The sequence below is a fragment of the Homo sapiens genome, chromosome 10 (genome assembly GCF_000001405.40).
Source record: "Homo sapiens chromosome 10, GRCh38.p14 Primary Assembly".
NCBI lineage: Eukaryota > Metazoa > Chordata > Mammalia > Primates > Hominidae > Homo > Homo sapiens.
Window position 1 is genome coordinate 11,373,455 of NC_000010.11, and position 17,423 is coordinate 11,390,877.

The window sequence follows — 17,423 nt, forward strand, 5'->3', positions numbered from 1 at the left end:
TTGCTTGAACCTGGGAGGCGGAGGTTGCAGTGAGCCAAGTTCGCGCCACTGCACTCCAGCCTGGGTGATACAGCAAGACTGTGACTTAAAATAAAAAAGACAACCTCCTCCCTCTAGTTACTAAGCCCAAACACCTAAGCACGGGACTCCTTTTCTCCCAGCTGCCATCACATGTGTCACCATGTCACACTGGTGCTGCTACTGTTACCACTGTGCACAGAGTAGCCATCATTTCATGCCTGGACTCCTGCCATAGCCTCTGAGCAGACTCCCCGCCTCCCCTCCTGCCAGGGTGTCACCTGGTCTGCACCATGCGCTGTCCTGGTCTCCCGCCCCCGTCCTTGCTGCTCCTCCAGCAGTCCAGCACCTCCCACCGCCACTGCTCCCTCCACAGGGAACACCCTTTCCCCCGGAAGCCACGGGCTCACCCCAACCTCCTTCAATCATCCTTTGTTCAGATCCTCCTTTGTTCAGATCCTCCTTTGTTCAGATGTCACCTTCTCAAGAAGACCTACCCAGACCCATCTTCCAAAAATTAAAACACAGCACTCCGCATCCCCTGATAGCAGTGATGTGCTGGTGAATGTTTAACAACCAGCTCCCAGCAGGGAGCCCTGAGGCATAGCCACGGCTGATCTCTCTGGGGTAAGCAGTCCCATCACCCATCACGGCAGATTTCCAGTGACCAACATGAGCTCACCGCAAAGAGATGCATACAGCGGGCACCAGCACACGCTGCTGAACCCTGCTGTGTTTCTCTATACCACGATCTCACCTTCTCACAGATGCAGAAATTTACATATTAATTATATTACTGTTTATTGTCTGCCTTCCCCCACTTGAATATAAATTCCACAGAGACTGGCTAATTGAGCTTGGTTTTAGTTTTTATTCCCTGATAGGTCCCAGGCATCTAGAGCAAGAGTTAGCAAACTCCACCTGGAGGTCAAATCTGGCCTGTAGCCTGTTCGCGGGGTTTTAGTTTAAAGAGACAGAGTCTTGCTATGTTGCCCAGGCTGGTCTCAAATTCCTAGGCCCAGAGGAGTGGAAGACATGGATCCCGCCCTCTAAGACTTGGCGCAGAGACACAGGGAGAGAGGCAGAGATGGTGACGAGCAAATGTGCCAAAACGGCACAAAATGAGAACTCAGTCCTTGTGGGAAGAGGAGCACAGTGGTTCTTGGGGAGGTTTCTAGGGCAGGATCCTCCCCAGATCAGCCTCCCAAGCAGCTGGGACTATAGGCATGCACCACTGCGCAGGCTTGCAGCCTATTTTCATAAACAAAATCTTGTTGAAGGAAGCCACACTCACTTGTTTACGTGGTGTCCGTGGCTGCTTTGCATTACAATGGCAGCAGAGTTTTGTGATGGATACCATACGGCCAACACCCTAAATACTTACCACCTGGCCCCTTACAGAAAAAGCATGCTAACCCCTGACTTGGAGGAGCGCCGGGTACAAAGTAGGCTCTCGATAAATATTTGTTGTATAAATGGCTGAAAATCACACAGAAAACCAATGTGGAGACTTTTCTCCTCAAATCATGCTTGTCCTAGTGTGTTCAAGCTGCTATCACAGAATACCAGCCAGGTGTGGTGGCATGCACCTGTGGTCCCAGCTACTTAGGAGGCTGAGATGGGAGGATCGCTTGAGCCCAGGAGTTCGAGGTTGCAGTGAGCTATGATCACACCTGTGAATTGCCACTGAACTCCAGCCTGGATGACAGAGCAGTATGCAAGACCTTGTCTTCCAAAAAAAAAAGAATGCCATAGACTGGGTGGCTTGTGGCTTATGAACAGCAGAAATTTATTTCTCCTAGTTCTGGTGGCTGGGCTGGGAAACCCAAGATTAAGGCACCAGTAAATCTGGGGTCTGGTGAAGACTCACATGGATACTGGTCTTCTCAGTGTGTCCTCATATGATGGCAAGGGTGAGGCAGCTTCCTGGGTCCTCTTTTATAAACTCACTAGTCCCATCATGAAGGCTCTGCCCTCTCATTACCTAGTTACCTCTCAAAAAACCCTCCTTCTACCTCCATCACCTTGAGGGCAAGGATTTTAGTGTATGAATTTCAGGGGGACACAAACATTCACCCACAGCAATGCTGTACCCATTATTCCTACCACCTGCTTCAAGAACAAGACATCATTCATCATGTCACACCTGGAGACATTACACCTGTTTTACTCTCCCACTGAGGACACTGAGACCAGATGAGGACACAGCTGTGACCTCCCCTGAGAGCTTTTGAGGGGAGCTGTTCCATCTCCTCCTCCTGAGTCATCAAGGCTGGAGACACTGCATGTCCATCACTGTCTTCTCATAAACTCCTTGCAAGGTAGATCATTTCATCCCCATTCTATGGAGAGCAGACAGAGGTTTCAGAAGTGTAAGTCTCATCCCAAAGGTCCCATGGCTAGTCAATGGCAGATATGGATCTGAGCACAAGCCTTTGGACTCCAAAGCTCTTATTTGTGCATTTCTGCCAATCTGTGAAATATTCCTCTCCATTAGGGTGCATGTGCCCAAGGGTTGGAAATAATGGGACAGAATATTCCAGGGGGACTCATTTCTTCATGAGGTGTCATGAATTGCTTTTCAAAAAAAAAAAAAATCTCTTGCAGATTTTCGATTCATTGCAGCCATAATGGTAGCATGAGTTGCTAAAGAGACGGAGGGTAAGGGGTCAGGGAAGGGAGGCATCTCCACGTCGGCGGGCTGGGGAAATCAGAGCCAGCCCACGCAGGGCATGCAGCTGCGAATCTGTTGAGGAGGCAGCGTGCTAACAGATGAGGAGATGACGTGAGAGGGAAACTGGTGTCTCCATTTGCCAAGGCCAAGAATTAAATAAAAATCTCCAGGACCAAGAATAGACTAAAAATCCCCTGACCCCAAGCCCTGGCTTTTGTGTTATAGTCACTCCGCCTCCACCATTCCACTCTCAAAGTTGATTTTTTTTCCTTTTTCTTTTTCTTTTTTTTTTGAGACGGAGTTTCACTCACTCTGTTGCCCAGGCTGGAGTGCAGTGGTGTGATCTCGACTCACTGCAACCTCCACCTCCTGGGTTTAAGCAATCCTCCCACCTCAGCCTCCCGAGTAGCTGGGATTACAGGTGTCCGCCACCACACCTGGCTACTTTTTGTATTTTTAGTACAGACAGAGTTTCACCATGTTGGCCAGCCTGGTCTCAAACTCCCAGCCTCAAGTGATCTGCCTGCCTCGGCCTCCCAAAGTGCTGGGATTACAGGTGTAAGCCACTGTGCCTGGCCTCAAAGTTGATTTTAATTCAATGTGAGGTTGGATCGTACAAATTAGTTCAAGTCTGGAATGAGAGTAGACACTCAAATGCATTCTAATGACATAGACGTTCAGAGGTGGAGGGAGGCCCTGGGGATTGCCTGGGCTGGGGGTTCCAGGCTGGGGTGCACATCACATTCCTCACTCCCAGGAGCTGTGAGAAGGTGGGAGCAGCCCCGTGGGCCGAGTCGATTGGTCTGGGGTGGGCCTGGGCATTGATGTCTTTTAAAAACTCCCCTAAATGTTTCTCAGGTGCAGCTGGACTTGAGAACCCCTGAACTAGTTCAACCTCCTGATTTTACAGATAAGAAATCCAACCCTGGGACTTTTAAAGGGTTTTCCTCCATTCACCGAGAACCATGCAGGGACCAACTCGGAGATGGTAGCAGGTCCCAGGCCACTGTCCTCCACTCTGGGCCATGCTCCATCCCTGCCAGGTAACCCGATGGCAGAGGAATCATCATTGAGGCTGGGAAAACTGAGGATATTTGGAATTTTTGCCAGAGTCTTTAAGTCCACTGAGGCCTCAGAGCATCTGTGTGGGGGAGGATGGAAACCGGTACTATTGCCCCATGTTACTGCTTTGGAAAATGGAAGAGCTGCAAGCTGAAGTTCTCAAAGGCAGTGTAACCCAGTGTTAGGAGCCCTTGCTGTGGACTCAGATCCAGCTCTGCATGCACTAGCTGTGCATCCTTGGACAAATTACTGAACCTCTCTGAGCTGTAGGTTCCTTGTTTATTAAGTGGGGTTGACAAGAGTGGTAACTCTTAGCAGTGCTGTATTAAAGGTCCTGGCCCAAATTGAGCACAAAGTAGAATCTGTTATTAGAACGAGTGCTCCCACATCACTCTGGCAGTTCCTGTATAGCCAGGATAGAAACACAGATTATCACAAACGAATAAGCTGAGAATCAAAGAAGTCAAACCACTTGTCCAAGATCCCACAAAAAGTCAGAGACATGCCTGGGCCTAGAACACAGACCCCAGAGCTCTCACTCGGCCTGTAGGCTTCCCACACACACATGCCTAGTTTCCCAGGGGGCCCCAGGTCAGTAGATTCTTCCCCCAGACCTCGTTGGCTCTAATGTGTTCCTTTTTTTTGGTTTTGTTTTTGTTTTGTTTTTTTTGAGAGAGAGTCTCACTCTGTGGCCCAGGCTGGAGTACGGTGGTGGGATCTCAGCTCACTGCAACCTCTGCCTCCCGGGTTCAAGTAATTCTCCTGCCTCAGCCTCCCCAGTAGCTGGCATTACAGGTGTGCACCACCACACCCAGCTACTTTTTGTATTTTTAGTAGAGACAGAGTTTCATCATGTTGGCCAGGCTGGTCTTGAACTCCTGACTTTGTGATCCGCCTGCCTCAGCCTCCCAAAGTGCTGGGATTACAGGCGTGAGCCACTGCGCCCAGCCTGTGCTGCTTTTAACGAGAGTGCAAAATCAACCCCTTGTGAGAACTCCTATTGGGGGAGCACATGAAAGGAAAGAGGGAACCCACTGTCCCTGCCACCTCCACGATCAACCCTGGAAAAGGAGTAATTAGGGTCATGAATCCTGGGCCACCTCCTGCTTCAAGAGTGTCACTGCCAGCGTGGCCCTGCGCAACCCTCTCCACGGGGCCACAGGACACAGAAGAGCTGGTTTTTTGCAAAGGAGCACAGACTGCCGAGCTTTGGATTCACCGCCTGATGAGGGGCCATGCATCCTGCTTATGGGGGAGATGACCACCCACGATCCCCAGAGCAGCAGCCAGGGACACTTCGGAAAGCAGGCCCCACTGCCAGCCAGGCCTCTGGACAGGCCGTATTGGGATTGTCTCTGGAATCAGCTAGAAGAGAGGCAAAGGCCACTGGGGCGATGGCGAGAAACCCTCTCCCCATTCTCCAAGGGTCTTTTCTTCCAACAAGATTCGCTCATGCCAGTGTCATTTCTCATTTATGCCTAGTGTTCCATTATTGGAACGCTAAGCATGTGGTAGTTATTTATATCCTACTGCTCAAGGTCATTGCCAAGGTCTGATTGCAAAAATTCAAAAAATTGCAACCTCAGACATAAATGGGTTAAAAGAGACAAGCAAAAGAAGTCAGGAGGAAATGGATCAACCAAGCAGCACTTGTGACACAGGCCACTCTGTGCCCAGCACTGAGAGAGATTCAAGAGGCACCCACAGCAGGGGGGCAGGATGTGACCCCACTCTCCCAGTGCAGGGAAGTCTATGCTCAGTAGCAACTGGCTGTGTGACCTGGACCACGCTCCTTGCCCTCTCTGGGCCTCAGCAGCTCCTTTATAGAGTGACCAGGCCACAGGAAGCTCTGACATTCCATGACGTTTGGGCCCATGGGAAATGAACCACGCAGGGCTGGTTGCTAGGGAAGCCAAGTAGGGGAGTTAGCTATTCAGGGAGGGGCTGTGTCCCAGACCCCAGCGCAATGGCAGCACGGGAGGTCGTCCCCACAGCCTCCACCCAGCCCCTAGAGGTTTGAGGAAGAGCACACTGTGTCCCCTTGGGAAATGTCTCTTTAGAAACTGGAATTGTTTTGACCTGGAAGAGAGGAATGCCACAGGGACCTTAGATGCCAACGTAGGTCATTTAGATTCTACTCTACTGGGACTTGGGAGCACTATGGGATTTCCGAGAGCAGGGAAATAATCTACCCAGGGTTTAAAATGATTGCAGGCTGGAAAACCAGAGGAGAGAGTCTAGCCTGGGTGCTGCCCAAAGGTGGGGCTGGGGGCCTCTTTGGAGCCCCTCCATTCAGCCCGATACTTTCCCATTAAATTAGAAAATTGGAGCCTATTTAAAGGCTTTTTCCCCCAAACATTTTCTAAGGACTTGAAGGCAGCAAGAGAGCACGAAAACGTGCATCCGGCCGGAGGGAGCTCCATTTGCCAACCTGAAATCTCTGCTTCTCATTAATTAGAGGAGCCGAGAAATCATCCTTCAAAAACTGGCTTTCCAACCAGAAATTCCAACGGCTCCACCTTTTGTGGGAACCGTGCTGCTGGCCACCTCTGGAGCCTGAGCCCCAGATGGCAAAGTGCCCTGGCCGCGCAATTGAGATAGCCGCTCGGTGCCATCTTTGCCTGTCAATGGCCGTGTGGAGAGCCATCCACTCACAACCTCTTTATCTGTCTGTTTCATGAGCCATCCACTGCCCAGCACTCCTCCCCGGAGCCCCGCTGGCCGAGATGCCAATCGGGATGCCAAGCACTGGCCGCGGCTTCCTCTCCTGCTTCCGGCAGCAGCATCTGCATCTTTGTTTGGCTCCGGCCTCGCTCCCTGGCTGGCTGCACTCCTGGCCTGGCAGGAGCAGCTTGGGGGGCTGCGGTGGCAGGTGGTGACAGCTCCCTACGTCAGGCTTCCAGCGCTGTGGCCTCTTTCCTGCTCAGCCACACATGGGCTGCCTGAAAGCAGAGGGCAAGGCAATGTGCCCACCGAAGGGACTCATGCAATCCGGTGTGCTCTGAGCCCGCCAGACAACACCTGGATCTCAGCCCCACAAATGGACACAGAAGATGTATCACCAAAACAAATCCATCTTTGGTCTCTGTCCCTGGTTCCTGGCACAGAACTGCTAAAACCCTTAAAATTTCCTGAATGTCAGAAGTACTAAGCACATCCCTGGTTCTAATATTTGGTCTTTGACCCCAGTATCTGACACAGAGCTCCTAAACCCTTTGGGAGGATAGGAGCATCTTTTGTTCTAATGAGCAATTCTTGGTGGGCTCCTGGGTGGGGGCTGGTCGCCAGAAAGATCAAGCCAGGATTAGAAGCTTGGAACTTTCAAGCTTCCACGCCCATCCTCGGGGAGGGGAGAAGGGCTGGAGATTGAGTTAATAATAGAGAATGCCAGCGAGGTGCATCACACTCACGCCTGTAATGCCAGCACTTTGGGAGGCTAACATGGGAAGACCACTTGAGCCCAGGAGTTTGAGACCAGCCTGGACAACCTAGTAAAACCCATCTCTACAAAAAAATGGAAACTTATCTAGGCATGATGGCACATGCCTGCAGACCCAGGGACTGGGGAGGCTGAAGGAGGAAGATTGTTTGAGCCCCAGAGGTCAAGGCTGCACCAAGTTGTGACTGCACCACTGTGCTCCAGCCTGGACCACAGAGAGACCCTGTCCCACTCCAAGAAAATAATCCATCATGCCTAAGCCTCACAAAATCCCTAGAAGACGAGGTTTGGAGAGCCTCTGGGTTGGTGAGCATTCCCACCAGCCAGCAAGGTGGGAGACCCCAACTCCACGGGGGAGACCCCAACTCCACAGGGAAGAAGCTCCTGTGCCCGGGACCCTTCCGGACCTCATCCTGTGCACTCTTCATCTGGCTGCCCATTGGCATCCTCTATCATTTCTTTCATAAGAAACCAGTCAAAGTTTTCTGCATTCTGTGAGTCATCATAGCAAATGATTCAACCTGAGGATGGGGTTATGGGAACCCCTGATTTGTAGCCAAGTCAAATAGAAGTGTGGGTGACCTGGGGGCCCACTGCTATGACAGGCGTCTGACACAGCATGGGGGGGCAGTCTTGTGGCACTGAGCCCTTCGCCTGTGGGGCCCGCACTAATCCAGCTGGTCAGTGTCATAGCTGCATTGAAGACACCCAGGTGGGGTCCAGAGAGTTGGAGAATGTGCGGGTGTGGGAAAAGCTCCCATGCATCCGGTGGGAGGCACAGAGAAAGCAGTGTGCTTCTCCTATTTAGACGGGGGCACCCCCGGAGCATATGTGCAGAGCCCTGAGGCTTCCCACGAGGGAGGGGGACAGGGAGGAGAGAAGGCAGAGAGACAGACGGCCACTTCCCAGGACCACTGCTATCAAGGCAGGAGGGTGCTGACTCTGAGAGGAAGAACCAGGACCTCAGGGTGGAAACCACAGAGAGACTAATTGCATTTCCATGAAGGAAAGACGTGTTCAGCAAACGTGTGTGGGCCGCCTCTGGAGATGACATCTGTCCCAGTGAAGTATCGGAGTGGAGGCCAGGAGCCAATGGCAAGGGCCATTGAAGGCTGGACTCCACCTCAACCCATGCCTCCAAGGCAGCCCAGGAAGTGTGCATCAATCTGCAACCTCCAAGAGGAGATCAATTCCACCCCCAATTCTGCCATGCCTTTGTTGACAATGGGATTCAGCAAGTCACCTAACCTCTCAAAGCCTCAGGCTTCTTGTCTGTAAAATGACAGGTCTCTGAAAAGACCACCTCTCAGTCATCTCCAGTTTTTTTTTTTTTTTTAAGACAGGGAGGATCTCATGCTGTCACTCAGGCTGGAGTGCAATGGTGTGATCACAGCTCACTGCAGCCTCAACCTCCCAGGATCAAGTGACCCTCCTGCCTCAGCCTCCTGAGTAGGAAAGACTACAGACATGCACCACTATGCCCAGATAGTTTTTGCATTTTATAGAGACAGAGTCTTGCTACGTTGCCCAGGCTGGTCTTAAACTCTCAGCGTCAAGTAATCCTCCCACCTCAGCCTCCCAAAGTGCTAGGATTGCAGGTGTGCGCCACCGTACCTGGCCTCCAATCTCACGCGTGGCAGTGCAACCAAGCCCCCATTCTCACCCCTCTCCTGTGGCCAGAGAGACGCTGGGCCTGAGGCCCCTTAGAGCTGACTCAGTGGATGAAGGTGCTTCGAGGTAACCCAGTCAGAAGGCAGTGCTGGGGGCGGGGGCTGTGGAGGACTTCCTATTGCATAATAAGGTTGGTATTAGGCCAGCAGGGAGGCTCTGAATCTCAAACGTAAAACCGATGAGGACTTTTGGCAGAAATGACCCCTTTCAATGTAAGATGTATCTGACTGATGTTAGGAACTTAAAGTAAATCAAGGGGGAAAAAGGGCAATTGCAACTGAGAGCGGAAAATCCCCACCGCCACCCCTGTCATCCACCAGGCAGCAGAATGGATGGTGTACCTGGCTCGTGACTGTCTCCAGAGGTGAAGAAAGCTTACAAAACAGCAGAAGAAACTAGAAACTTCTCAAATTCTAGGGCAGTCTGAGGGTGGAGGTGGAGCAGAGGAGAAGGGGAGTCAGGGAAAAGGAAGGAGTTCAAAGGGCGGAAAAACTGGGTGGGAAGGAAACAGTAAGGCAGAGAGGGCACAACGCGCCGGGCCAGGAGTGTCCTCCCCGGGGCCATCCCAAAGGCCTGAGCCCAGACGGCCATGCTCTCAGAGAGTAAAAGGGACACGAGGTCACTAGACCAGGACTAGGCATGGGAGGAGTGTCTATTGCCTGACTTTTCTCTTCTCACCCCTCCCTCTGAAGCTCTGACTTCTCACCAAAGACCTTACCATCTATGTGAACACCCTGGTCTCTCCTGTGCTCATGTGTATGTTTACTTTAAGGGGATAGTGGCCAAGCTGGTCACCAGCTACAAGCATAGACTAAGCCCCAACCCCAGCTCCCAGGGAACCCAGGCAAGAAAATCATGTTTAGCATGGGCTATGAGCCCCCTTCAATGGCTGAAAAAATAGTAAGAGAGAGTCCTTTAGGCTCTCTCCTCCCACTCTTAGCTCACATCCTGGGCAAAAAGATATGGAGCCTGTTGCATGGGTTATAGAAGAAAAGGGGGAAAGGTTACCGTCTTGGATCTCTAAACCTTGAAGCAAAGCTATGGCTGAATCACATCTAGGGTCCCACGGAGTCAGAGCTGAGTCCTTCCACACTGCAGAGCTGTTTGGCATCCAGAGCCATGGTTATGGAGATTGGAATCGCCTCTCAAAGCAAGAAGGACTTGGAATGGGCAGCTGGGAACTTGGCTCTGGAATGTTCTTAGAAGGTGGGTATGAGCACTCCTCTTCTGGCACAAACTTTTCTTTTCTTCCTTCTCTTTTTTTATAAAGAGGAGATCTTGCTATGTTGCCCATCCTGGATTCAAATTCCTGGGCTCAAGAGATCCTCCCACTTCAGCCTCTCAAATAGCTGGAACTACAAGTATGCCATCATGCCAGGCTAATAGTTTTTTTTTTCTTTGTAAAGACAGGGGTCTCACTATGTTGCCCAGGCTGATCTCAAACTCCTGGCCTCATGTAGTCCTCTTGTCTCAGCCTCCCAAAGTGCTGAGATTCCAGGAATGCACCACAGTGCCCAGCTCTGGCACAAAATGTTCAAACATAGATGATGTCTTAGCTTGGAGAGCTATAACAGAATACCACAAACCAGTGGCTTACACAACATTTATATATCATGGTTCTGAAGGCTGGGAAGTCCAAGATAAGGTGCCAGCTGATTCAGTTCCTAGTGAGGGCTCTCTTCCTGGTTTACAGATGCCACCTTCTTGCTATAGCCTCATACGATGGAGAGAGAGATCATCTCTCTTGTGTCTCTGATAAGGGCACTAATCCCATTGATCAGGGCTCCACTGTCAGGACCCAATCACCTGCCAAATGCCCCACCTCCAAATACCATCACCTTGGGGGTTAAAGCTTCAACAAATGAACTTTGAAGGAACACAAACATTGTCCGTATCAGATAGCTTCCTGAAAGAAGAGGCAGCTCTGTTAGAATAAAGAGTTCTGGGAGGATTTGGGAAGAGTTTAAGTTTCTCAGTGCCTGGAGAAAAGGGGGTGAAGAGACCCATGAGCAAGAGTGACATTGGAGGGAGCTGTGGCAAGGCAGTGGAGAAGGAGGCAAAGACGTCAGGAAGCCTAGCACGACACAGCCAGAAGTCTGCTTGGAAAAACTGACAGTTCACAAACAACCTCAGGCTCCATGAACAGCCTGAGGGACTTCCAGAAGCTTCGTGATTAGCCCCAGAGGAAGAGGAGAAAGTGGAGGCCATAGAAATTTTAAAGAAAGAGAATACTGCTGAAAGCTCAAGTCTTAGGGATGAAAAAAGAAATAGTTACAGAGATAGACGTTAGCAGCTGCCGCAAACAGAGTGGGGATGGGGGGTCCACCCTCCTCCTAGGACACGGAGCCTGATGTCCAACTCAAGGCTTCACCCTCCCATGTCAGTTACTACTGTCCAGCGGGACGGTAGAAAAGATGGGCTGCGTATGTCCTGTGGAATATTTCTCAGTGGTGAAGATGTGGTTCAGTCAGAAAATAGGTTAGGGTCATAGATTAGAGCCTCTGGGCCAGCCTTCACTGAGGACCAAAGCTGCCCCTGGGCTCTTGGCCCCAACCCCCTGGCTGGTGGGGCCAGAGGTGATACAAGTGCAAATTCAAGACAGGAAGGCATCCCTCCCAGCCATGCCAGGTATCAGTGCATTAGTCTGTTCTCACGCTGCTGATAAATCCATAACCAAGACTGGGTAATTTATAAAGAAAAAGAGGTTTAATGGACTCATAGTTCCACATGGCTGGGGAGACCTCACAATCACGGCGGAAGGCGAAAGGCACATTTACGTGGTGGCAGGGAAGAGAGAATGAAAACCAAGCGAAAGGGGTTTCCCCTTACAAAACTATCAGATCTCATGAGACTTCTTCACTACCCCAATAACAGTATGGGGGAAACCTCCCACATGATTCAATGATCTCCCACCAGGTCGCTCCCACAACACATGGGAATTATGGGAGCTGCAATTCAATATGAGATTTGGGTGGGGACACAGCCAAACCATATCAATCAGGTAATAAGTTCATGCTCCTTCCTGGTGCTGTCCAAGCCACATCTCACACACATCTTACTGCAGGACTGGACAGTGCCAGGCGTTGGACGCAAGGTGACGACAGAGCCTCTCTCAGGTGCTTGTCATGAGCCATGAATTCCCGAGGTGGCATGAGAGAAGTTGTGCCCCACCCTCAAGGCCTGGCAAAGTGGACCAGGTTAGTGGGACAAATCCTACCCCATTCCAGGTGTCAGCCCATTATTTCCAGCAACCTGCTTGAATCAACAGCCAGTCCCTATGGCTACTGGTGCACACCTTCTCAGAGCCTGGCAAGTAGGACTGCAGTTTCCAGCTCTGCGCAGCAGGTGGGGAAGAACTCAGAGAACAGAGCCCAGGCGACAAGACTCCAACAGCATCCCATACTTTGCCCTCCAAGAATGGTACGTGAGAGAGGTTAGTAGCTCCCCCAAACATGGTGGGGACAGGGGGGCTCCACCCTCGTCCTAGGACTGGGAGTCTGAGGTCCAACTCAGGATTCCACCCTCTCATGTCAGTTACACCCTCCCATGTACAGTAGGGTAATAGCAAAGGTGGGTTCACTTTTGCTGTGAGAAGGGGAGTGGTCTCCAGTTACAAGGCCCTGGAGCGCCCTAGAGATCAACAATTTAAGGAACTCTATTGAAGAACACCCATGACCAGCATTATGTGGGAATCCCTGTTTGAGGTAAGTGCATACCCAGCTGGCTGAAGAGAAGAAAAGGGGCAGGAGGGGAGGTTCAGAAGCTCCATGGACGTCAGACTGCGGGGGGCCTTGCACACCATGCTGAGAGGTGCGGACTTTTCTTGAAGCAATAGGAAGACTGTCGAGCCAGGCAGGAGGGCAGAGCAGTTAGGGCCCATTTGTGTCTTTGCAGCTCCTCTTGCTTCCCCCAGGTGGTCTCCCTTCCAGTTCTGTCTCCACCAGACCAGTGCTAGCAGTGAGGGGACTGCAAGGAACTTCCTGAACTAATTAAAGACAGTGGGAGATGCGGATTCAGAGGGAGGGCATCTAATGAGTGTTAAATGCGACGTAACATTGACAAAACCTCAATGCTTTGTCAATGAAAGGTTTTACCGATTAAAACCTCAATAACAAAGAAGAGCTGTTCATTCAATTATTGCTCTTAGGCAGAGGAGAGAAATATTTTGATCCATCCCTGATGCTGAGTGACCTATTTCTATATCAAAGATAATCATAAAACTGCCTTTTATGGAAAGCGGATCTGGTTCACCCAGTAGCTCTGTGTTGTCCTGTGGTCCATATTGGGTTTTTGTGCAAGTCCAGGAGCTGAGACAAAGCATTTTGCTCTGCATAAAAGAAGAGAGGACAGCCACCAAGGTTAGGTACTTTCTGAGGACAGGGAGTAGAAACACACTCAGAGAAAAGACTTTAGAGAAACAAAACATCTTTTTTTTTTTTTTTTAAGATGGAGTCTCACCCTGTCGCCCAGGCTAGAGTGCAGTGGTGTGATCTCAGCTCACTGCAACCTCCGCCTCCCCAGTTCAAGCGATTCTAATGCCTCAGCCTCCCGAGTAGCTGGGATTACAGGCACGCGCTACCATACCTGTAATTTTTGTATTTTTAGTGGAGACAGGGTTTTGCCATGTTGGCCAGGCTGGTCTGGAATTCCTGACCTCAGGTGATATACGCCCCTCAGCTTCCCAAAGTGCTGAGATTACAGGCATGAGCCAACGCTCCCGGCCGAGAAACAAAACATCTAAAATGCATCCTGAAGTAGTTTGCTGTGGCGTGATCCCCTGTAACTGTCTCCCCTATGAGATCTGTAAATTCTCACCAATTGCTCACTCCTGCTATCGCGGGAGGGGATGCTTTTTGAGTTCTGTACCCACGTAGGTGCAGGATCAAGACAGAGGATGTTCCCACGGCGCTGGGGCCGGAGGATGAGGGTTGGCAGATGTCTGGCTCCAGTGGATGGATCATGAATCATCCAATGCTGAGTGTAGGCTGCCGGGTCCTGAGACACCCCTTAGGAGGGGACGGGGCTGGGAGAGGCAGGGTGGACAAACTGACTGGCACATCCTGGGGACAGTGGGAGGAATCCACCAGCATGCTGATCTGTGACCTGCCTCTTCTCTCCATTTGTGGGATGAGCTTTGATTCTCATATCCCAGCAGGGGCGTGGGGAGGGCAGGAAACCAACACAACAAAAACCCAGAGGCAGTTTGTCATGGAAAAAAAAATTAATAATAAGAGGCTTTCACGCCAAGCCCTGCTCTGACAATCTGACTGTTCACCCTGTATTTTAAGTGAAGGCTTAGAAAAAAAGAATATATCTCTATATAAAAGCAATAGAAATCCTCCCAGAAAGAAGGCTTCCCTGCCTGTCTCTCTCCAGCCCTCACATCACCCTATGGCTCTCCCGAGCTTGATACAACTTGCAGTCGAAATGGAAGGCTGTAATTACAGCGAGACTGGCAGAAGCTGCTGTTCAAATTAAACTCCTTTAAAAAAAATTCCTTTTCAATAAAGAGAGGCTAAACTCAGCATGCTTTAGCCATTACCATAGCACTTTTCTCCCAGGAGGATTAACAAATATGAAGTATGGGGCCTAGAAATTTTGATCAGGCAAAGCATTTTAAAGGGTTTTATTCTCTCCCTCTGTCATTAAACTTGCACTACTGTGATTCAATTCTGTATCTAATGTGGACACACACATGCGTGCTGCATCCCGTCTACCCGTGGAGGACAATGGGACCTTCTGCAGGAATGAGTCTGTCTGTTAGGATCTACGAGGGGAAAAACTGTGCCTCTAAAATATACATAAAAGTGACCCCATATAGAAACGGGTGAAAACAAGTGTGTTTTCATTGCTAGGGTGGTGGTTTTGAACTTGGGCACACAAGACGAAGATATTTATCAGCTCAAAGAAGCAGATCTCGGTTTGGGAAGGTGATTTATGGGAAACCAAACAAAAAACCTACCAGGCCTGGCCAAGCCTACAGGGGAGGCCTCTCTCCACAACTCGGAAGAGGAACGCAGTGGAACCCCAGCGCCTGCAAGCAGCCCGGGAGGGGACGGCCCATCTCTGCTGCCTGGGCCTGTCTGTTCCCGGCACTGACCCTTTAGACTCATGACTGGAAAGAAAGGGAAGGAAAATGGAGGCAGGAGAGAAGAGAGGGAAGGCAGGAGAGAGAACAAAGGAAAGTAGAAGGACAGAAGGGAGGCAGCCAGAGACCTCTGGTCGTACTGAAAGAAACCAACTAGGCCAGGCGCAGTGACTCACGCCTGTAATCCCAGCACTTTGGGAGGCCAAGGTGGGTGGATTACCTGAGGTCAGGAGTTCGAGACCAGCCTGACCAACATGGTGAAAAGACGTCTCTACTAAAAATGCAAAAAATTAGCCGGGCGTGATGGAGGGCATCTGTAATCCCAGCTACTCAGGTGGCTGAGGCAGGAGAATCGCTTGAACCAAGGAGGCAGAGGTTGCAGTGAGCCGAGATCATGCCACTACACTCCAGTCTGGGTGAAAAGAGCAAAACTCCATCTCAACAAAATGAATAAATAAATAAAAAAGAAACCAACTCAAGCCAGCTTAGGAGAAAAGAGGTACATACTATAAAGACGGAGGGGATAACTCAGGAAATTCACACAGGTAGGCCTCCAGAAAGTCCTGGAAGAAGGAACTAGAGAATCTTCAGAAACCCAGGCCATTCTCAGTCTCTTCCTCCCCTCTTCCCCCACCTCTGCCTCATTCCCTGTCCGACAGCCCAGTTCTCCACTTCTCAGTCCATGTGGCTGTGCACGAAAACCCTGCAGTCCTTGGGGCTCTTGGGACTGGACACACATTTCCCATCATGCAGCTGCCTGCAGGGGCCACCTGGCCATTCCTGAGTCCCAGAGCGAGAATGTGGTTGGTCCACACGCCCTCCTCCATCCAACACCAGCAGGAAGCGGTCGTATGATGCCAGCCTGGCCGGAGCCCACTCCTGGAGGAGCACGCCTGGGCTAGAGATGGCGCAGGAGATGAGGTAAGAGAAGGTTCAGGAAAAGGGGAAGGGAAAATGTGGAAAGGAGCAAAGGGGGACAAGAGAAGCCTTTTATCTTCCTGTTCTCAGGAAGCTTGGGGTCTCCTGCACCCTCAGTTTGAAAAGCCGAAAAAACAGTGCAGGAAGAAATGGTCACACAGATGCTGAGGTGTGTGTGTCGTGGAAGCCTCTGGAATCCTCCCCTCCACATCCCTGCCTCACTCAGGAGCTACTCACAGGGGCAGGCTGTTGGACCCTCCTTATCCAGGGAGACTCTAGAGGAAAATGAACCCTGAGTGAGGACAGTCTCCACACCACAACCTTCCTTCCTGACAGCCTCTCACTACCCCCCAGACTTCACCTCCCACCATGAACACCTTCCTCTTAGCTGTCCTTCTCCAAATAGGCCTCATTAAAGAGGCCACATAGGATCTGAGCACCAAATCCACACACCATTCCCCTTAATGATATTTTCAAATCTTCCTTTCACTTCCATTTATTCCTGAACAATCAGCAGTGAAAAGGAAATAGACAAGATCTAGGAATCAACGTTCCCATTGCCTTTGTTGGGGTTCGGAAAATGACACCCCAAAATGAAGGTCTCAGAAGCAGCCTCAGACGCAAAACGCTTTCTCTTTTTACCTTCTCTTGACCTCCTGTCTCTCAGACCCATTCTCCCCAAAAGCTAGGCATAGAAACTGGAACCTCTCTTCCACAAAGCGGGTCATATAATCCAGAACCCCTTCTCCCCAAAGCCAGTCATAAATCCTGACAATCTACTCTAACTCTCCCTCTGCCTTTCTCTGTAAAAGCAGGCCATAAAGAAATTCTCTGAGCTACTGTGTTTGACTGTAAGTCATAAGACCCCCATTCAAGAGAGGGTCCTGCCCACACCCGGAAGGAAGGAACGCCACTCAGAGAGGCCAAGAAGAATCTAGAGAGACAGGCTTTGCTGGATGTCCTCACTCCGTCTATTAGCATTAGATCAGACCCTTTGCATCCAATCATACTTTTACGTGGCTGTCCATATTTTGTTGAACATAAGCATAAAAACAGACACTTCCCCCTGTATCTTGGGCTCTTCGTTCTGAAGACTCCCATGTGAACACACTGATCATACATTTGTATGTCTTTTCTCCTATTAATCTACCTCTTGCTAGTAATTTTCAATGAACCTCCAGAGGGTGAAGGGGAAGTTATTCCTTGGTCCCTACATCTCCCTCACGGGAACTCAATAGTTGGGCTCCAATTCTGTGGTCAATGCAGCCTGCACAAAGTGGGCGGTCTTCCGGCTCCAAGGATCTTCCTGGATGTTTCCAATGCTGCCCACTGGTTTCCTCAGTCAGTCACACATATGTGGTGCCTGGAAGATTCCAGACAGCAGGAATGTGTGAGGCACTGAGATACACCCATCAGCACTAGCACCAGTGTCTACTTTCATAGAACCTCAAAGACTTGCAAGGAACCCAGCCACTGAAGAAGTGATTCCACACATACAAAGTGTTGCAGTGGGAGCTAAAAATAAAAACAATGGAGATAGAGAGTAGAAGGAT

The 17,423-nt window shown here is 50.5% G+C and overlaps 1 annotated feature.

The window, feature by feature from the left end:
- Window positions 11,613-11,692: a silencer, noted in NCBI's record as "silent region_2127". NCBI's record gives its function as "represses an Ori minimal core promoter by ATAC-STARR-seq in GM12878 lymphoblastoid cells {active_cell/tissue: GM12878}" and the evidence as "EXISTENCE:reporter gene assay evidence [ECO:0000049][PMID:35858748]".